Below are 21,646 nucleotides of genomic sequence, written 5' to 3' on the forward strand. Positions count from 1 at the left end.
ACAGGTGTGAGCCACCATGCCCTGCCAAGAACCCCCTTCTTCTACCAGACAGAAGCCAAGGTGCACTGACTTGGGAGCAGATTATGGGCTAGATTTGAGCCTTCACTCACATCTGTAGCCCAGGGACTAAATATATGTTTATATATAAATATGATTGGGTGTGATGGCTCATGCCTGCAATCCCAGCACGTTGGGAGGCCAAGGCAGGAGGATCACTTGAGCGCAGGAGTTCAGGACTGGCCTGTGCTACGTAGGGAGACCCTGTCTCTGCAAAAAATTAGCTGGGTGCAACGGTGTGCACCTGTAGTCCCAGCTACTTGGGAGGCTGAGGCGGGAGGATCGCATGAGGCCAGGAGTTTGAGGCTGCAGTGAGCCATGATTGCACTACTGCACTCCATTCTAGGTGACAGAACCAGACTCTCTCTTTCTCTCATCAGATATATATATATATATATATATCAGAGGCTAGGAAGAGGGGAGAGGGGATGAGGAAAAATAAAGAATACAAATGTATTTATTATCATTGAACTGAACCCTTAATAATGGAAAAAATGGTAAATCATATATGCACATTTTACATATATAATTTAACATTATATCTATATATAATTCACATACATAGTATATTCATATACCTAAAGCTGGAAAAAATGCTAATCTCGCAAGCAGAAAATTGACTTTGTCATAACTCCTTTGGCAGCTGAACTTGACTGTGCCCATGTAATTGTATTGATGATCTTTATTCATTGTATAACCTGCGATGAAACAGGGATGTTTACATGAGTCAAGTATGCTTGATTATGAGGGGGTGTTCCAGGAGCCCCCAGAGGGGGTAATCCATGCTACACATATCATACTACCTTTCTACATTCTAATTTTTTTTTTTTTTTGAGACAGAGTCTTGCTCTGTTGCCCAGGCTGGAGTGCAATGGTGCGATCTCAGCTCACTGCAACCTCCGCCTCCCGGGTTCAAGAGATTCTCCTGCCTCAGCCTCCTGAGTAGCTGGGATTATAGGCATCCACCACCACGCCCGGCTAATTTTTTTTTTTTTAATCTTTAGTAGAGAGAGAGTTTCACCATGTTGGCCAGGCTGGTCTCGAACTCCTGACCTCGTGATCTGCCCGCCTCGGCCTCCCAAAGTGCTGGGATTACAGGCGTGAGCCACCGCGCCTGGCCTCTAAATTCTAGATCTCCAAATCTGGCTTCTAGGGTTTGGGATCAGGGAATGAGGATTTGTCCAAAGGCATGGGGTGGGAAAAAAGACTGTTTGTTTACAAGAGGTAAGATGTCAGGAAGCAGCAATGTGCTTACACCACTGAGGTAGGTGTGCCCCTTTCAGGGGGGAGTTTCCATTCTGGGGATCCCCATTCTGAGGTTTCCCAGAAGGGGACAGTTTTCAAGCCCACTTTCCTGACGGTTGCATCTTGTCGCAGGTTTCATCTCACCTTTGTCTTGCTGCCCGCAATCTCTGGCTTGGTCAGCTCAGGAAACCCCTGGTGCCAGAGATCCGGATGAAGATGAGGGACTAGTTCGGCCTGTTGCGGTATCTCAGCGGGGTGAGACGCCTCGGTGGGGAAGGCAGAGTGGAAAACCCGACGCCTTCCACCAGCAACTCTTGTGAATATGTGTGTGTTGGGGTTATGTGGCTAGCCAGGAGTGGAGATGGATAGTGTGGTCTGCAGAGGATGCATTTTGGAGCTGACAGAGCTGAGTTTGAGCCCTGGTTCTGCCAGTGCTGGCTAGGCTGTGCACCCCTGGGCAAGGGTCTTCACCTCTCTGGGCTCATGTCTTCAGTTATAAAACTGGAAAATAATTCTCATGGGCTCTTGGGAGATTTATTTATTTATTTATTTACAGACGAATTCTCGCTCTTATCCCCCAGGCTGGAGTGCAGTGGTGCGATCTCAGCTCACTGCAACCTCCGCCTCCCAGGTTCAAGCGATTCTCTTGCCTCAGCCTCCCGAGTAGCTGGGATTACAGGCGCCTGCCACCACGCCCGGCTAATTTTTGTGTTTGTAGTAAAGGTGTGTTTCACCATGTTGGCCAGGCTGGTCTCGAACTCCTGACCTCAGGTGATCTGCCTGCCATGGCCTCCCAAATTGCTGGGATTACAGGCATGAAACACTGTGTCCAGTGCTCTTGGGAGTTTTAAATGAGCTAACAGTTTCAATTGCACAGTGGCTGACATTGGATTTCATATGTGAAATCTGTTGTTATTATTATTAACATTATTATTATTATTTTTTGAAACATAGTTTGTGATGTTGCTCAGGCTGGAGTGCGGTGGTGCGATCTTGGCTTACTGCAAGCTCCGTCTCCCGGGTTCAAGCGATTCTCCTGCTTCACCCTCCCAGGTAGCTGGGATTACAGGTGTGAGCCACCTCACCTGGCTCATTTTTGTATTTTTAGCAGTGACAGGGTTTCACCCTGTTGGCCAGGCTGGTCTCGAACTCCTGACCTCAGGTGACCTGCCCGTCTTGGCCTCCCAAAGTTTTGGGATTACAAGCGTGAGCCACTGTACCCGACCTGTTTTTGTTTTTTTTTTTTAAATTTTATTTTGAGATGGAGTCTCGCTCTGTTGCCCAGGTTGTAGCACAGTCTCGCTCTGTTGCCCAGGTTGTAGCAGTGGCGTGATCTCGGCTCACTGCAACCTCTGCCTCCTGGGTTCAAGCAATTCTCCTGCCTCAGCCTCCCGAGTAGCTGGGATTACAGGCACCTGCCACCACGCTAATTTTTGTATTTTTAGTAGACATGGCGTTTCACCATGTTGGCCAGGCTGGTTTCGAACTCCTGACCTCAAGTGATCCACCTGCCCCGGCCTCCCAAAGTGCTGGGATGACAGGTGTGAGTCACTGAGCCCACCTCAAACTTTGTTTTTCCTCTGCTCTAACACCACCACCACCACCGCAATCATCAATACAGAAGACTTCTGTGACCAAATGTGTGGGGTTTTTTTCCCCACACACCTAGCAGCGGACACCAGCTGGGTGTTTCGGGGTGTCTTCCAATTCAATTCCGACATCATCTACGTGGAGATGGTGTCAGATTGCACAGGCTGGGGGCTTAGTCCCCAGGAGTGACGCCCACGCCCCTAGATACCAGTTGCAAGTCTGGGCCTTTGGAAGGTTTTTTATTTATTTATTTATTTATTTTTTAGATGGAGTCTTGCTCTGTCACCAGGCTGGAAAGCAGTGGCACGATCTCAGCTCACTGCAACCTCTGCCTCCCAGGTTCAAACAATTCTCCTGCCTCAGCCTCCCGAGTAGCTGGGACTACAGGTGCGCACCACCATGCCCAGCTAATTTTTGTATTTTCAGTAGAGATGGGGTTTCACCATGTCGGCCAGGCTGGTCTCGATCTCTTGACCTCATGATCTGCCCGCCTCAGCTTCCCAAAGTGCTGGGATTACAGGTGTGCGCCACCATGCCCGGCTAATTTTTGTATTTTTTAGTAGAGATGGGGTTTCATCACATTGGTCAGGCTGGTCTTGAACTTCTGACCTCGTGATCTGCCGGCCCTGGCCTCCCAAAGTGCTGGGATGACAGGCTTGAGCCACTGTGCCCAGCCTGGAGCTTTTGACTGATTGGCTTCAAGTTGGGGTTCCCACGACCCCTTGTTTGAGTTGGATCAATTTACTGGGGTGGCTCACAGAACTCAGGGAAATATTTATGTTCACTGATTTATTATAAGTGATGTTACTAGGGATACAGACGAAGACATGCATGGGGTGAGGTATGGGGGACGTGGGGTGGATCTTTCATGCCCTCCCTGGATGCACCGTCCTCTGGGATCCTCCTGTATTCAGTTAACTGGAAGCTCCCTGAACCCAGTCTTTTGGCATTTCCATGGAGACTTCATTACATAGGCATGATTGATTAAACCATTGGCCATTGGTGATCAACTTGACCTTCAGCCCCTCTCTCCTCCTCCTGAAGGTTGGGGGCTGGGGCTGAAAGTCTCAACCCTCTAATCCTGCCTTGGTCTTTCTGGTGACCAGCCTCACCTTGAACCCATCAGACAAAAGATATACAAAAGACAGCACTTTGAAGATGCCAAGGATTTTAGTAGTTCTAAGCCAGGAACAGTGGACGAAAGCCTGTATATATAATAATGCCGCAAACAGGGTAGACGGTGGAGGCATTTATGGACTTGGGGAACCTGGAGGATCATAGATCACTTTGAATTGTGCGGGATTTCCAGATGTCGCTGAGGGACTTTGACCGGGATGGCCAAGGGGGAGTGTTGAATCCTTTCTGTAGCTATGCAAGCTCTTTGCCTGGAATGCACATTTGAGAGTTGTTGGTATATTTTATATAATGCAAGTTTTGGGGGCAGGATGAATCTCTTACGCAGACAAATAAAGGTGTAGAAGAGAGGAAGGTCTAAGCTCAAGTGCCAAGAAACTCTGATACATAACAGAAGGCATATGTATATGTATTAGAGATGGGTTTCACCATGTGCCAAGAAACTCTGATATATAACAGAAAGCCTATATATGTATATATATATGAGATTGGGTTTCACTGTATGTGTGTGTGTGTGTGTGTATATATGTATGCAGTGTCTGGAAGTCAGGTGTTCAGCATATTTGGAGATTTGGAGGGGTGACCAGACAGGAAAGAAAAAAAATAAGTTTCGAGAAATGTGTTTGAAGAAGTAAGTGGTGGTCAGTGGTGTCTAATTCAACTTCTGAGAGTCTGTCAGGATGAGAAGCTGAGGCAGGAAGGGAGGTAGGCACCATGTCCGGCCATGAAGTTGGCAAGAATCCCCTGAAACAGGCCAGGGAGATGAATGAAGAAGATAAGGCTTTGAGGCAAAAACGATGTCCACATCTACACAGTATTTAGCTCCCATTTATGCCAAGACCAGCTTGGTTGGGGAGACCCTAAGCCAGCGGCGCTAGAGGAATTAAAGACACACACACAGAAATGTAGAGGTGTGGAGTGGGAAATCAGGGGTCTCACAGCCTTCAGAGCTGAGAGCCTTGAACAGAGGTTTACCCACGTATTTACTAACAGCAAGCCAGTGATAAGCATCGTTTCTATAGATTATAGATTAACTAAAAGTATCCCTTATGGGAAACGAAGGGATGGGCCGAAATAAAGGGGTGGGTCTGGCTAGTTATCTGCAGCAGGAGCATGTCCTTAAGGCACAGATGGCTCATGCTATTGTTTGTGGTTTAAGAACGCCTTTAAACGGTTTTCTGCCCTTAAAGAACACCTGGTGGGCCAGGTGTTCCTTGCCCTCACTCCAGTAAAACCACAACCTTCCAGCATGGGCGTCATGGCCATCATGAATATGTCACAGTGCTGCAGAGATTCTGGCTAGTTTTGGGGCCAGTTTATGGCCAGACTTTGGGGGGGCCTGTTCCCAACACATTTATAAGTGAGAGCATGCAGTATTTCACTTTCTGTTTATGAGTTGTTTCACTTAAAGGTAATGGTCTCCAGCTTCACCCATGTTCCTGCAAAAGACATGATTTCATTTTATTTATTTATTTATTTTTTGAGACAGAGTCTCATTTTGTTGCCCAGGCTGGAGTGCAGTGATGTGGTCATAGCTCACTGCAGCCTCAAACTCCTGGGCTCAAGTGATCCTCCTGCCTCAGCCTCCTGTGTAGCTAGGGCTACAAGAGCGAGCCACTGGGGCTGGCTAATTTTTAAAATTAATTAATTACTTGCTGTGTTGCCCATGCTGGAGTGCAGAGGTGTGATCACAGCTCCCTGCAGCCTTGACCTGCTAGTCTCAAGGAATCCTCCCACCTCAGCCTTCTAGGTGGCTGGTACTACAGGGGTGCACCACCATGCCTAGCTAATTTTTGTGTGTGTGTATATATATATAAAATATACATATATAACATATATTTATATTTATATATATTATATATTTATATTTATATATTATATATAAATATATATTTATATTTATATATATTTATATATATATGTTTTTGTAGAGACAGGGTCTTGCTATGTTGCCCAGGCTGGTTTAGAACTCCTGAGCTCAGGCGATCTGCCTACCTTGGCCTCCCAAAGTGTTGGAATTACAGTTGCGAGACACTGCACCCAGCCTAAATTTATTTTTGTCTTATATTTCTATTTAATATTTGAGGTTGAATATGATGAATAGAAATACAAGCGAAGTAAATAATTTTAAATAATAAAGGCGGGGCATGGTGGCTCATGCCTGTAATCCAGCACTTTGGGAGGCCAAGGTGGTGGATCACTTGAGGCCAGAAGTTTGAGACTAGCCTGGCCAACATGGTGAAATCTTGTCTCTATCAAAAATATGAAAAGTGAGCTGGGCATGGTGGCACGTGCTTGTAGTCCCAGCTACTCAGGAGGTTGAGGCATGAGAATCGCTTGAACCCAGGAGGCGGAGATTGCAGCGAGCCAAGATGGCACCACCACACTCCAGCCTGGGTGACAGAGCCAGATTCTGTCTCCAAAAAGAAAGAATAAATGTGTAAAAAAGAATATTTAATATTATATACATTTATAAATAAACATGTTATTTATATTTTATATTATATATATTTTATTTTATTTTTAACTTTTATTTTTCCAATATATACACTTTTTAAAAATATGCCACTGGCCCTTGAGAAAAAATTTATTTGCACTGCTAGCATTCTTCTACTGCAGTATTAGCATTTCATATAGGCACTACTCTTCCATTTCCTACTTACATTCATTTGGGCTATTGTTACAAATACAGTATGCAATTGAAGAAAACTAATGGGGGGCCCAGTGTGGTGGCTCACACCTGTAATCCCAGCACTTCTGGAGGCCGAGGTGGGCGATCACCTGAGGTCAGGAGTTGGAGACCAGCCTGGCCGATATGGTGAAACTTCTTCTCTAAAAGTACAAAACTTAGCTGGGCATGATGGTGTGCACCTGTAGTCCCAGCTACTTGGGAAGCTAAGGCACAAGAATTGCTTGAACCTGAGAGGCAGAGGCTGGAGTGAGCCGAAATTGAGCCACTGCACTCCAGCCTGGGTGACAGAGCGAGACCCTGTCTCAAAACAAACAAACAAACAAACAAACCAAACACCAAACAAAAAAACCCAAAAAACAAACTAGTGGGGAAACGAAGCTTTATATATGTTTTTCCTCTTTACAGCTTCTCAATATCATGCCATTTAAGTGAAAATTTATATGGACATTTTCTGTACATATCTTGAAGGGCAGAGATTACACTGATAAAACCAAAATAATTGTGCAAGGCTGGGTGCAGTGGCTCATGCCTGTTATCCCAACACTTTGGGAGGCTGAGGTGGGTGGATTACCTGAGGTCAGGAGTTTGAGACCAGCCTGGGCACCATGGCGAAACCCTGTCTCTACAAAAAATATAAAAATTAGCCAGGCGTTGGTGGTGCACACCTGTAATCCCAGCTACTCAGAGGCTGAGGCAGGAGAATTGCTTGAATCCAGGAGGCAGAGGTTGCAGTGAGCCAAGATCGTGCCACTGCACTCCAGCCTGGTCAACAGAGTGAGACCCTGTCTCAAAAAAAAAAAAAAAAAAAAAAAAAAAAAAAAAATCCCAAAGCATTTAATTTGACCAAAAACCTCTGTAAATAGAAATACTCAGAATGTTCTTTAGTTAGCTCTCTCTCAAATATCAAGGGTGCACTGAGTTCAGGGCAGAAATCACGTGTGAATTAGTTCCAATGGTATACAAACACATGGAAACACTAAATTAAAAGCTGCCTTCCTCAAAGTGTAGTGAGGCCTCAAAACCACTCTAACTGTAACCTCAGTCACCAAGACAGAGGACAGACTGAACATTTACCTCTGCATAACAAATGTGGCTCTGGCACACCTGTTATCTATCCAAATTATTAACTTTCTTTGCCTTTCTAGAAAAAGGCCTATTATTGAACATTAACCATATTCTAATTTTAAATGTAATTCATTTCTTAAAAAAAACCACTGTCTCTGAACAGATAAAAATGGCTTACATAGGCCAGGTGCAGTGGCTCACACCTGTAATCCCAGCACTTTGGGAGGCCAAGGTGGGTGGATTGCCTGAGCTGAGGAGTTCGAGACCAGCCTGGGCAACACAGTGAAACCCCATCTCTACTAAAATACGAAAAGCTGGGCATGGCCGCGTGTGCCTGTAATCCCAGCTATTCGGGAGGCTGAGGCAGGAGAATCACTTGAATCTGGGAGGTGGAGGTTGCAGTGAGCCAAGATTGTGCCACTGCACTCCAGCCCAGGCGACAGAGCAAGACTCCCTCTCAAAAAGAAAAAAAAAAAAAAAGGCTTACGTAATACTGTTACAGAATCTTTAGGGTGTCACATTTCTGGTCGGAAATATCTGTGTCCCCTGGCACCTTTGCCAGAGTTCTTGTCTTGTGTCCAGGAAGAATGAGTTACACAGGGAAGTGGAGGGTGAACAGGATGAAGAGGAGTTTTATTGAGTGTTAGAACAGCTCAGAGAAGACCAAAGTGGGCAGCTCCTCTCTGTAGACAGTTCATTCCATTGAGTGCTCAGCTCTCAGCAGAGAGGAGACCCCAGAGAGGGTAGTTCCTCTCTGGTCCTCCTGATGGCTGCAGGTCTCAGCAGAGAGGAGGCCTTGGAGAGGGTGGCTTCTCTCTGCCCAGCAGGTCATCCCATCCTCACTGCAGCTTTCAGCAGAGAGTGTAGCTCCTTTCTGCAGCTGGTCGTCAGGTCATCTCCAGCTATTAGCACAGAGAGTGGCTTCTCTCTGCAGCTGGTCATCTGGACGTCTCTCTTTTTCTCTGCCCTGCTCTGGCTGAGCCTGGGGCTTTTATGGACCTCAGAGGGGATGCAGTGTGTGCCGACTGGTCCATTAACAGCCATGCATGGGCCTGGAAAAGGCATCACAAGTCCCCACTCTGGTCCACAGGTCTGGTGGCCCTCAGCCTTCAGGCCCTCCCTGGCCTGAAGGTGGGGTCTTAGCGAGGACTTGCTCCCTTCTGCCAGGAATCAGTCTGCCTCCTGCTGCCGTTCATGGCCCCAGGTTGGACCCTGACTTTGCTCCAAGATCAGAGCAGGCGCTGAGAGCAGGGAGAAACCAGGCAGTGGGAGCAGGTGCTTTGGAGCCTGCAAGGGCAGGGGGGCCTCCCTGGCCCCCCAAGAGCACAGGGAGGCTTGAATCTGCGGCCACAACTTGGGCGGCTGCAGAGGCCCAGGATGCAGCTTCAGGTGCTCCCCCTTGCAAGCTGGGGCGGGGATTCCTGATCCTTGCCGGGCCTGGGCTGGCGCCCAGGGCAGGGGCAATATCACCACGAACTGCCCCTGTTGCCCCGGCACTCAGGGGCAGCCTGTGGGGAGCTGATCCTGGCCCCAGCCTGGCCACGGGGAGTGGCAGGCTTGGTGGTCGCTCTGATGCGGGGTGGACCCCAAGAACACGGCTGGCAAGCCCTGCACAGAGCCTCCTCCTGATGCCTAGGAACCCTGAACCCTCTGCGGGGTGGGTGCAGTGGCTGCGCGGCTGGCTAGTCCCCAAAGAGGGCGCTGCTCCCTCTTCCTGCCCCCGCCCCCAAAGCACGGCCCCAGCTCCACATCCGGGCCCCTCTCTGCCCGACCGCGCTGCTCCAGCAGGGCGTGGGCTCCAGAGGGCTGTGGGCTGCGTGGCCGGGGAGCTGTCAGCCTCCTCCCTGGGCCCTCCCTGCAGCAGCCATGTGATGGCAGCAGCCAGACAGCCCACCACAGCCATCAATACCACACGAATTTTCACAATAAGCTGGACAAACTTTCCCTGGTGGAAAAATTAGTCTGTGGCCGGGTGTGGCTGGCCCTGGCTCTCCCAGGAGGTTTTCATGACGTAACCTGCCAATTTGATAAATCTCTGCCTCATAGAGTCACAAACGTTCTTCTCTAGATGAGAAGTTCTCCATGATTCCATAAATATAAATTTTAAAAAATTTAACCTGGGGCCGGGCGCGGTGGCTCATGCCTGTAATCCCAGCACTTTGGGAGGCGGAGGTGGGTGGATCACCTGAGGTCAGGAGTTCAAGACCAGCCTGGCCAACATGGTGAAACCCTTGTCTCTACTAAGAATACAAAAATTAGCTGGGCGTGGTGGTGTGTGCCTGTAATTCCAGCTACCCAGGAGGCTGAGGCAGGAGAATCGCTGGAACCTGGGATGCGGAGGTTGCAGTGAGCCAAGATCACGCCACTGCACTCCAGCCTGGGTGACAGAGCAAGACCCCGTCTCAAAAAACAAAACAAAACAAAACAAAAAAAACAAAAACTAACTTTAAGTTCAGGGGTACATGTGCAGGTTTGTTATATGGGTAAACCTGTGTCATGCGGGTTTGTTTTACAGGTTATTTCACCCAGGTGCTAAGCCTAGTATCCATTAGCTATTTTTCCTGATCCTCTTCCTCCCCCAACCCTCCACCGTCTGATAGGCCCCAGTGTGTGTTGTTCTCCTCTATGTGTCCATGTGTTCTTATCATTTAGCTCCCACTTATAAGTGAGAACATGCAGTATTTGTTTTTCTGATCCTGCGTTAGTTTTCTAGGGATAATGGCCTCTAGCTCCATCCATGTTCCTGCAAATGACATGATCTCGTTCTTTTTTATGGTGCATAGTATTCCGTGGTGTATATGTACCATATTTTCTTTATCCATTCTACCATTGATGGCCATTTAGGTTGGTTCCACGTCTTTGCTATTGAGAATATGCTGCAATGAATATATGCATGCACGTGTCTTTATAATAGAATGATTTATATTCCTTTGGGTTTACACCTAGCAGTGGGATTGCTGGACTGAATGGTAGTTCTGTGTTTAGGTCTTTGAGGAATCCTCACACTGTTTTCCACAATAGTGGAGCTAATTTACATTCCCACCAACAGTGTAAAAGCGTTCCTTTTCTTAGAAGACAATACCTTTTTTTGTTGTTGTTGTTGTTGAGACGGAGTCTCCCTCTGTTGCCCAGGCTGGAGTGCAGTGGTGTCATCCCAGCTCACTGTAACCTCCATCTCCCGGGTTCAAGCAATTCTCCTGTCTCAGCCTCCCAAGCAGCTGGGATTACAGGCTTGCATCACCACGCCCAGCTAATTTTTGTATTTTTAGTAGAGATGGGGTTTCACCCTGTTGGCCACGCTGGTCTCGAACTCCTGACCTCAAGTGATCCACCCACCTCAGCCTCCCAAAGTGTCAGGATTACAGGCGTGAGCCACCGTGCCCAGGCAAGAAGGGAATATCTTAATGACAACTTCTCCCCGCCGCTTTCCTCGCCAAAATTCTTCACATTCACCTTTGCCAGTGTTCCTGTAACAACAATAGTTTTCACAATTGTTCTCTGAACAAGCAATGGTAGACCTGATCCAGAGCCTGATATTGTCATATCATAAATTAAATCTTTTAATGTAGTTCCCTCTGAAATAAAAGGATAATCTTTTTTTTTTTTTTTTTGAGACGGAGTCTTGCTCTGTCGTCCAGGCTGGAGTGCGGTGGCGCGATCTCGGCTCACTGCAGGCTCCGCCCCCCCAGGGTTCACACCATTCTCCTGCCTCAGCCTCCCGAATAGCTGGGACTACAGGCGCCCGCCACCACGCCCGGCTAATTTTTTTGTATTTTTAGTAGAGACGGGGTTTCACTGTGTTAGCCAGGATGGTCTCGATCTCCTGACCTCATGATCCGCCCGCCTTGGCCTCCCAAAGTGCTGGGATTACAGGCGTGAGCCACCGTGCCTGGCCTAATAAAAGGATAATCTAATGAAGGGTCCTCTTTATTTGACACTTGATGGTGAGTGACAGTGCGGTTGTGGCAGAAACAGATCATTAACATGAGTGAGATGCAGAGGAGGCAATGACAGCTGCCAGTTCTATGAGACCTGGGCCAGGCGACGGCTTCATAGTAGTTGAGTGTTTTATTTTATTGCAATGGTCCTGATTGCAGCAACATATTGTGGTCACAGACCCGGTTTATTTATTTATGTTTTTTATCTTAAACAATTTTTTTTTGAGGCAGTCTCACTGTGTTGCCCAGGCTGGAGTGCAGTGACACGATCTCAGTTCACTGCAACCTCTGCCTCCCAGGTTCAAGTGATTCTCCTGCCTCAGTCTCCCGAGTAGCTGGGTCTACAGGTGTCCGCCATCATGCCTGGCTAACTTTTGTATTTTTAGTAGAGATGGGGTTTCACCATGTTGGCCAGGTTGGTCTCGAACTCCTGGCCTCAAGTAATCTGCCCACCTGGGCCTCCCAAAGTGCTGGGATTACAGGTGTGAGCCACCACACCCAACGAGACAATAGATTCTTGTAAACTATAGACACCCAATTGAGCTAACAAACTCTAGGTCTTACTTCTTTTATCAAACTGTGTATTTGTACCCATTAATCAGCTTCTCTTCATTCTCCCCCTCAAGAATAAACTTTTGTAAAAAAGAATCATGGAGAAGCTCATTCTCTCTTCAGTTGCTTTTGCTCAGCCATTTCTACCTTAGCTATGAGTTAAAAGTAAACCCAGCCTGGGCAAGGTGGCTCATGCCTGTAATCCCAGCACTTTGGGAGGCTGAGGCGGGCAGATCACTTGAGGTCAGGAGCTCGAGACCAGCCTGTCCAATATGGTGAAACCTCATTTCTACTAAAAATACAAAAAATTAGCCAGGCTTGGTGGCAGGTGCCTGTAATCCTAGCTACTTGGGAGGCTGAGGCAGGAGAATCACTTGAACCTGGGAGGTGGAGGTTGCAGTGAGCCGAGATTGCATCACTCCACTCCAGCCTGGGTGACAGACTGAGACTCTGTCTCAAACAAAACAAAACAAAAGTAAACCCAGCCTGGTAAATCCGGGCAGACTCTGTGGCTCAGTTTTTGTTCTTCTCTAAAATTTGGTCTCATGTGGAACCCACACATTCCCACACATTAAAAAAAAATTAAAAGATAACTGAAAACATTTACTGGAGTTTGAACCATGGGAGTCACAGGGTGATTTTACAAGGGCTATTTTTAATCATGGGAGTGAATCTAGCGGCATGAGTGGCTTGAGAAATTAGTGACAAGGGAAGAATTTAAGATAGCCTATAGAATGAGCTTCTTTTAGAAGACTGTTTTAGGGAAATAACTTCAAATGTAAAGCAAAGTAGGCCGGGCATGGTGGCGCATGCCTGTCATGTCAGCACTTTGGAAGGCTGAGGTGGGAGGGCTGCGTGAGCCCAGGATAGAGACTGCACCTCAGCCTGGCAACAGAGACAGACTCTGTCTCAAAACAAAACAAAAAGGAAGGTTACATGAATGAAAAGTGTACAAGGAATACCCATTGTGTCTTTCACCCAGATTCCCCAGTTAATATTCGGGCCTGCTTGCGTTATCATTTGCTCTCCTCATCTCTCTCTCTCTCTTTCTCTGTCTCTTTCCCTTTCTGTCCCTATCTCTGTCTCTCTATATCTCTCTATCTTTCTATCTCTATCTCTTTGAAATTTGTTTAAATTTTGTTTTTTATTTTCTCTATTTTTGTTATTTTTTCTTCCTTTTTTCTCTCTATCTCTTTATCTCTATGTATTTCTCTATTTCAATCTCTCGATCTCTTCATCTCTGTCTCTGTCTCTCTCCATCTCTATCTCTCTATCTCTATCTGTTTCTCTACCTATCTATTTCTGTCTCTATCTCATCTCTATCTTTCTATCTCTACCTATCTTTCTATCTCTATCCCTCCATCTCTATCTCTTTCTATCTCTCTGTATCTCTCTTTGTATCTCAATCTCTCTATCTCAATCTCTGTCTGTATCTCTCTATTTCTGTATCTCCATCTCTATCTATCTGTATCTCTCTCTCTATGTCTATCTGTCCATCTGTATCTCTATCTCTATATCTCCATCTCTATCTATCTCTGTCTTTTTCTTCACGTCTCTACCTCTGTCTCTTTATTTCAATCTATCTCTTGATCTCTCTATATCTCTGTATCCCCTATTTCTCTATCTTTCTTTCTCTACTTCTCTATCTCTAGCTCTCCGTCTCTCAATCTCTCCCTATCTCTTCCTCTGTCTCCCGATTTCCCCTCTCGTCTCCCTTGTGGGTATGATTTAGAAGTTTCATTTATGATGAATCTGACAAGATCGAGGTTAAGAAACAAAGCCAGAGGAAACCACAGGCTCAGAGGCCAGGGAAGTTCTGGGAAATTCCCCATGCAGTGTGAGAGGATTTGAGAAACAGGAGGGAGTCTTGGGGCATTTGTGAAGGCGATTTCTTAGAAAGAAACACAGGACTAGTCGGGTGAGCTTTGCTCCGTCCTTTGGCCCATGTTTTAAGCAGATCAAATGGTATCATTAGCCCTTGGGGGTATAAAATATCAACTAATCAGCAGTCCTCTTTTCTTTTTTTAAACATTTTTATTATTTTTTTTTAACATAGAGTCTCACTGTGTCACCCAGGCTGGAGTGCAGTGGCGTGATCATGGCTCACTGCAGCCTCGACCTCCTTCCTAGGCTGAAGCAATCCTCCCACTTCAGCCTCCCAAGTAGCGTGACTAAAAGCACACACCACCATGCCCAACTAATTTTTTTGTTTTTTTAACTTTTTGGTAGAGACAGGGGCCTCTCCATGTTGGCCAGCCTGGTCTCAAACTCCTGGGGTCAAGCAATCCTCCCACGTTAGCCTCCCAAAATGTTGGGATTACAGGTGTGAGCCACTGCACCAGCTATGCCCACATTTTTCTAGGTCAATGATACGGAATAAAAAGAAAGAAAGACTAGTTTCTGCTCTCAAGCAGTTTATATTTTAGAGTCAAATCTAGCAGGTGAAATCTAGTCCATGGCCTGTTTTTTTTTTCTGAGACATGCTCTCACTGTGTCACCCAGGCTGGAGTGCAGTGGCACCATCATGGGTCACTGCAGCCTCGACCTCCCAGACTCAAGCAATCCTCCTGCCTGAGCTCCCCAAGTAGCTGGGACTACAGGCATGTGTCACCACGCCCGGCTAGTTTTTTATTTTTATTTTTGTAGAGATGGGATCTTGCCATGTTGCCCAGGCTGGTCTCGAACTCCTGAGCTCAAGCGATCCACCTGCCTTGGTTTCCCAAGGTGCTGGGATTACAGGCGTGGGCCACTGTGCCCGGCCTCCTTGCCTGTTTTTGTAAGTGAAGTTTGATTGGAATGCAGCCATGATCATTTGTTTATGTAATGTCTATAATTGCCTTCATGCTGCAATAGCAGAGTTCAGTAGCTGCAACAGACTGTGTAACCCCTGTGGATATGCACATATAGGGGGTTAGAGAAGGGAAGAGAGAGAGAGATTTTAAGAAATTTCCTCTCATGGCCGCGCCCGGTGGCTCACGCCTGTAATCCCAGAACTTTAGGAGGCCGAGGCGGGCGGATCATGAGGTCAGGAGATCGAGACCATCCTGGCTAACACAGTGAAACCCCGTCTCTACTAAAAATACAAAAAAAAAAAAAAAAAAAAAAAAAAAGAAAAGAAAAAAAGAAAAAAAAAAGAAAAAAAAAGGAATTGTCTCACATGATTGATGGGACTGGCAAGTCTGAAATCTGCAGGGCAGGCTGGACACCCCGGGGAGAGTTGTTGAATCTGAAGTCAGAGACTAGAGGCAGGACTCCTTCTCCCTGTGGAGGATTTCAGTCTTTTTCTCTTAAAGCCATCAACTGATTGGTTGAGGCCCACCCACATTATGGAGGATCTCCCAGGGACTTTACCCAAAGTCTGCTGATTTAAATGTTAGTCCCTAAGCCAGGCGCTGTGGCTGTAATCCCAGCACTTTGGGAGGTCGAGGCAGGTGGATCCCCTGAGGTCAGGAGTTTGAGACCAGCCTGGGCAACATGGTGAAACCCCATCTCTACTAAAAATACAAAAATTAGCCAGGTGCAGTGGCGCATGCCTGTAATCCCAGCTACTCAGGAGGCTGAGGCAGGAGAATCTTTTGAACCCAGGAGGCGGAGGTTGCAGTGAGCTGAGATCTTTCGGCCTCCCAAAGTGCAGGGATTACAGGTGTGAGCCACTGTGCCCAGCCTTGTATCCTAACTGCTATATCTCTTCCCTTCTTTGTGTACCAAGGTAGTTCTGATATTCCAACTTCATTTGGTGTAGGTCACTTTCTGGTCCATGATTGAAGCAACATGCCAAACTGTTAGAGCTCTTAAAATTTTTAAAAATTATTTATTTATTTTAATGGATACCCTGGTACCCAGTTATCTCCATAATATTTAGGTTTCCAGATTCAGTGGCAGTATTTTCACTGTAATTTCTGAACTAATTTATTTATTTATTTTTGAGACATAATCTCTCTCTGTTGCCCAGGCTGGAGTGTAGCAGTGTGATCTCAGCTCACTGCAACCTCTGCCTCCCAGGTTCAAGTGATCCTCCTGCCTCAGCCTCCCAAGTAGCTGGGATCACAGGCGCACGCCACCACATCCAGCTAATTTTTGTATTTTTTTGTAGAGATGGGGTTTGACCATGTTGGCCAGGCTGGTCTTGAACTCCTGGCCTCAAGTGATCCACCCATCTCGGCCTCCCAAAGTGCTGGGATTACAGGCATGAGCCACTGCACCTGGCCGAATTTTTGCATTTTTAGTAGAGATGGGTTTCACCAGGTTGCCCAGGCTGATCTCAAACTCCTGGCCTCAAGTGATCCACCCGCCTCGGCCCCTCAAAGTGCAGGGATTCCAGGTGTGAGCCACCATACCTGGCATTTATCTTGTTTTTAATATAGGATGGTAATGCCTTCTTTAGATCATGTATGTTAAATATGCTTTAGAAACAAAAATTTCCTTGATATTTTGACAAACCTACGCTTCCTTAGGTTAATTTTCATAAGTGTTAATTTTTATATTACTAATCACTGTACTGCTATAGCTAAATCAACTAGATATCAGTTTGTGTAGTGTTGCTCAAAAGATGTACAAATAGCAAGTTTGATAATTGCTTCAAAAATGAGCTTTTTAAAATAAAGAAAGCAATAATGTTCCAAGTCAGTGGCAGGGGGCAAAATACATACAACAAACATATTGAGACAGAGTATCAAGTGCCCATCAGTTTCTCTTATAAGAATAACATGCTTGAGGAAGGTCTTGAGAAAATCCTCCCTCCCTCTACTAAACTTTTAGTTTCCACATAGTGTCGGATGTTACAATTGGTATGAAGGATAAATGCTTTTAGGCAAAAGTAAAAAGCTATCTACAGGCTGGGCGCGGTGGCTCAAGCCTGTAATCCCAGCACTTTGGGAGGCCGAGGCGGGCGGATCACGAGGTCAGGAGATCCAGACCATCCTGGATAACACAGTGAAACCCCGTCTCTACTAAAAATACAAAAAAATAGCCGGGCGTGGTGGCGGGCGCCTGTAGTCACAGCTACTCCGGAGGCTGAGGCAGGAGAATGGTGTGAACACGGGAGGTGGAGTTTGCAGTGAGCCGAGATCGCGCCACTGCACTCCAGCCTGGGTGACAGAGTGAGACTCTGTCTCAAAAAAAAAAAAAAAAAAAAAAAAAGCTATCTACAAAGCAAAATCCATAGTGACTTTTTGTAGGAGGCTCTCATCTCTGGTGGTAATATTCTTTAGTACTTATACAGCATAGAGGAAATTGAAACAATATTTTGGATACAGTAGCAATTATTTCTTATAGTCTTACTAAATGTTACAAAATTCCTAAATATATGTAAATATTCTTCTTACCACCCATTATGCACCAGTTTGGGGCTGCCTGATGAAGTGGCTACTGTTTTTGTTTTTTCTCTTTTTTGACAGGGTCGTCCAGGCTGCAGTGCAATGGCAGGATCATGGTTCACTGCAGCCTGAACCTCTTTGGCTCAAGCAGTCCTCCCACTTCAGCCTCCTGAGTAGCTGGGACTACAGGCGGGTGCCACGTGTGGCTCATTTTTGTATTTTTTTTGTAGATATGGGGTTTCGCCATGTTTTCCAGGCTGGTCTCAAAGTCAGAGGCTCAAGTGATATGCCTGCCTCAGCGTCCCAAAGTGCTGGGATTATAGGCGTGAGCCACTGCACCCAGCCATGGCTACTATTTTAACAGTTAAACATTGCACCTAGGCCAGGCACGGTGGCTCATGCCTGTAATCCCAGCACTTTGGGAGGCCAACGTGGGCTGATCACCTGAGGTCAGGAGTTCGAGGCCAGCCTGGCCAACGTGGTGAAACCCCGTCTCTACTAAAAATACAAAAATTAGCTGGGGAAGGTGGCAGGTGCCTGTAATCCCAGCTACTTGGGAAGCTGAGGCAGGAGAATCGCTTGAACCTGGGAGGCAGAGGTTGCAGTGAGCCAAGATCGTGCCACTGCACTCCAGCCTGGGTGACACAGTGAGACTCTGTCTAAAAAAAAAAAAAAAAAAGGAAAAACAAAACAAAAACAAAAATTGCACCTCAAAAGTTCTGCCATCCATGCACAAGAAACGGGCACAATAGTGAGGACTCCTCAGAGATGGCAAACTACTTCCCAAGTGAAAAGTTAGTGATAGAGTGTCTCCAAATTAGAGGAGAGAGGGACATGGGTAAGGGAGGTAGGTAGAGCAAAAGGACTTTAAAATAATACTGCTTAGGAGTGTGTATGCGTGTGCATATATATGCCATCACACCCACCTAATTGTTAAAAATTTTTGTAGAAATGAGGTCTCACTATGTTGCCCAGGCTGGTCTTGAACACCTGGGCTCAAACACTCCTCCCATCTCAGCTTCCCAAAGTGCTGGGATTACAGGTGTGAGCCGCTGTTTCCAGCCAGGAGTGTTTTTTTTTAAAATTTATTTAATTAATGCATTTGTTTATTTATTTAGAGACAGGGTCTCACTCTGTCTCCCAGGCCGGAGTGCAGTGGCATGATCTTGCCTCACTGCAACCTCTGCCTCCCAGATTCAAGAGATTCTCATGCCTCAGCCTCCCAAGTAGCTGGGACTACAGGCATGTGCCACCACGCCTGGCTAGTTTTTGTGTTTTTAGTGGAGACAGGGTTTTGCCATGTTTGGCCAGGGTGGTCTCGAACTCCTGACCTCAGTTGATCTGCCTGTCTTGGCCTCCCAAAGTCCTGGGATTATAGGCATGAGCCATTGCACCCTCCAGTAGTGTTTTTTTGTTTGTTTCTTTTTTCTTTTCTTTTCTTTTTCTTCTTTTTCTTTTTTTTTTTTGTTTTTGTTTTTTTGAGATGGAGTCTTGGTTTATCGCCCGGGTTGGAGTGCAGTGGCATGATCTTGGCTCACTGCAACTTCTGCCTCCTGGGTTCAAGCGATCCTCCTGCCTCAGCCTCCCAAGTAGCTGGGATGTAGACGTGTGCCACCACACCCTGCTAATTTTTGTATTTTTACTAGAAATGGGGTTTTACCATGTTGCCCAGGCTGCTCTTGAACTCCTGACCTCAGGTGATCCACCTGTCTTGGCCTCCCAAGGAATTACAGGCATGAGCCATCACACCTAGCCAGGAGTGTTTATTTTTAAGATAACTTCTATACCTTGTCTGTCCTTGATCCTAATCCTTGAATAACTCATGTTCGTGCTAAATACAATTTCTACTCTAAAGGAAGAGGAGTGGTCTGTTAGGAGAAGCATATTTTAAGGAGAAGACACGAAGACATCTCTGTCATAAATGCAAGTTTACTTGGTGAGTCTTTTGGTTACATTACTACATTAACTGTTTCTGCTGCTATTTCAATCTCTTTATCATTGGGACAGGTATTGTTGAACATATCCCTACTACTTGTATTCGTTAGGTATCTCCAGATGCCAGTCATTCCTTTTTTTTCTATATTTTTTTATTTTCTATATTTATTTATTTATTTTTGAGATGGAGTCTCGCTTTATTACCCAGGCTGGAGTGCAGTGGTATGATCTCGGCTCACTGCAACCTCCGCCTCCCGGGTTCAAGGTATTCTCCTGCCTCACCCTCCCAAGTAGCTGGGATTACAGGCACCCATCACCAAGCCTGGCTAATTTTTGTATTTTTAGTAGAAATGGGTTTCACCATGTTGGCCAGGCTGGTCTAGAACTCCTGACATCAAGTGATCCACCCACCTTGGCCTCCCAAAGTACTGGGATTACAAGCATGAACACCGTGCCTGGCCAGTCATTCCTTTTGGAATATCAAAGTTGTGACTTTTTTTTTGACAATATGCAGTTTGGGCAGCAGATGGCAATCAGCTAATGCCATTTTATTGCCATTCAGAAATTTATGTGTAGAAAACTTAGTGTCCTGCATGCTATTTTCATCAATTTCATCAGGGAGAGGAGAATTCAGATATTCATAAGTTTTTGCAGTTTTTTTTTTAACTTTTATTTTAGCTACCAGGGTACATGTGCAGGATGTGCAGGTTTGCTACATAGGTAAATGTGTGCCATGGTGATTTGCTGCGGAGATCAACCCATCACCTAGGTATTAAGCCCAGCATTCATTAGCTATTCTTCCTGATGCTCTTCCTCTCCTTGCCCCACTGACAGGCCCCACTGTGTGTTGTTCTCCTCCCTGTGTCCATTGTTCAGCTCATAGTTATAAATGAGAACATGCGACATTTGATTTTCTGTTCCTGTGTTAGTTTGCTGAGAATAACTGCTCCAGCTCCATCCATGTCCCTGCAAAAGACATGATCTTGTTCCTTTTTATGGTTGCATAGTATTCCATGGTGTATATGTACCACATTTTCTTCATCCAGTCTATCATTGGTGGACATTTGGGTTGATTCCATGTCTTTGCTATTGTGAGTAGTGCTGTAGTGATCATATGCGTGCATGTATCTTTATAACAGAATGATGAATATTCCTTTGGGTATATGCCCACTAATGGGATTGCTAGGTCAAATGTTTTTCCTGCTTCTAGATCTTTGAGGAATCACCACACTGTCTTCCACAATGGTTGAACTAATTTACACTACCACCAACAGTGTAAAAGCGTTTCTTTTTCTCTGCAACCTCACCAGCATCTGTTGTTTCTTGACTTTTTAATAATCACCATTTTCTGCAGGGTTTTTAAGAGATGCTTCACTCATGCTTCATTAACCTCTGGCCTTGAATTCTTGATCTATGCAGAGAATTTGGCAAAGATGTCCATTCCAGCAGTATTTGATTCTGGGTGTTTTGGTGAAAGCTTTAAGTACTTGGGAGGACATAAGACTTCTTCAGGAGCTTCCTCAATCTTATTTGACTTCACTGTTGAAAGTTATAAGTGGTGGGTGGTTCCCAGGAGCCTTGTTTTGCAGATCTGCAGGTTTCCTTTTTCAGATCAACAGTTGTGACACTGAAGACAACTCCTTTGAGCTAAAGAATCATGAGGAATCTCTGGGAAAAAAGGCAGATTCCTGTGCTTTCACCATCACTGACAGCCTTGACCCAGAGCTCAAGGAGGGGCTCTTTGTCTTCCTCCTTCAACTTGTTCAGTGGCATCGACAATGCCAAGGCCAGGTCAGCTGGGCTTTGCAAACGTTGGCAGCTGCTGCTTCTGCTCCAAGGCTGCTCTGGCTGATGGCTTTGGCCATGCTGCTCACTGGACAGTCTGGCATTGAGGTGGCCATGGCCTCAGCTCCTCAGCACTGCACCACACTGCAGATTGAGCCACTTCTTCAATTGGCCTTAAATTTATCAAAGGGAAATTGTCTAGGTGAGCCTGAGTTAATCACACAAACTCTATAAATCTGAATGTAGAAGTCAAATATCAAGAAAGTCAGAAGCCAGAGAGATTCAGACCTTGAGAAGGATTTGACCTGTCGTTGCTGGCTTTAAAGGTGGTAAGGACC

At 46.1% G+C, this 21,646-nt stretch overlaps 2 pseudogenes, besides 3 other annotated features; both read right to left on the minus strand.

The window, feature by feature from the left end:
* Positions 1,270 to 1,399: an enhancer, noted in NCBI's record as "active region_13839". NCBI's record gives its function as "activates an Ori minimal core promoter by ATAC-STARR-seq in GM12878 lymphoblastoid cells {active_cell/tissue: GM12878}" and the evidence as "EXISTENCE:reporter gene assay evidence [ECO:0000049][PMID:35858748]".
* Positions 9,316 to 9,385: an enhancer, noted in NCBI's record as "active region_13840". NCBI's record gives its function as "activates an Ori minimal core promoter by ATAC-STARR-seq in GM12878 lymphoblastoid cells {active_cell/tissue: GM12878}" and the evidence as "EXISTENCE:reporter gene assay evidence [ECO:0000049][PMID:35858748]".
* Positions 11,172 to 11,906, minus strand: TGFBR1P1 (TGFBR1 pseudogene 1; annotated as a pseudogene).
* Positions 14,023 to 14,072: an enhancer, noted in NCBI's record as "active region_13841". NCBI's record gives its function as "activates an Ori minimal core promoter by ATAC-STARR-seq in GM12878 lymphoblastoid cells {active_cell/tissue: GM12878}" and the evidence as "EXISTENCE:reporter gene assay evidence [ECO:0000049][PMID:35858748]".
* Positions 19,982 to 21,402, minus strand: CLIC4P2 (chloride intracellular channel 4 pseudogene 2; annotated as a pseudogene).

Source organism: Homo sapiens, chromosome 19, assembly GCF_000001405.40.
Source record: "Homo sapiens chromosome 19, GRCh38.p14 Primary Assembly".
Lineage (NCBI taxonomy): Eukaryota > Metazoa > Chordata > Mammalia > Primates > Hominidae > Homo > Homo sapiens.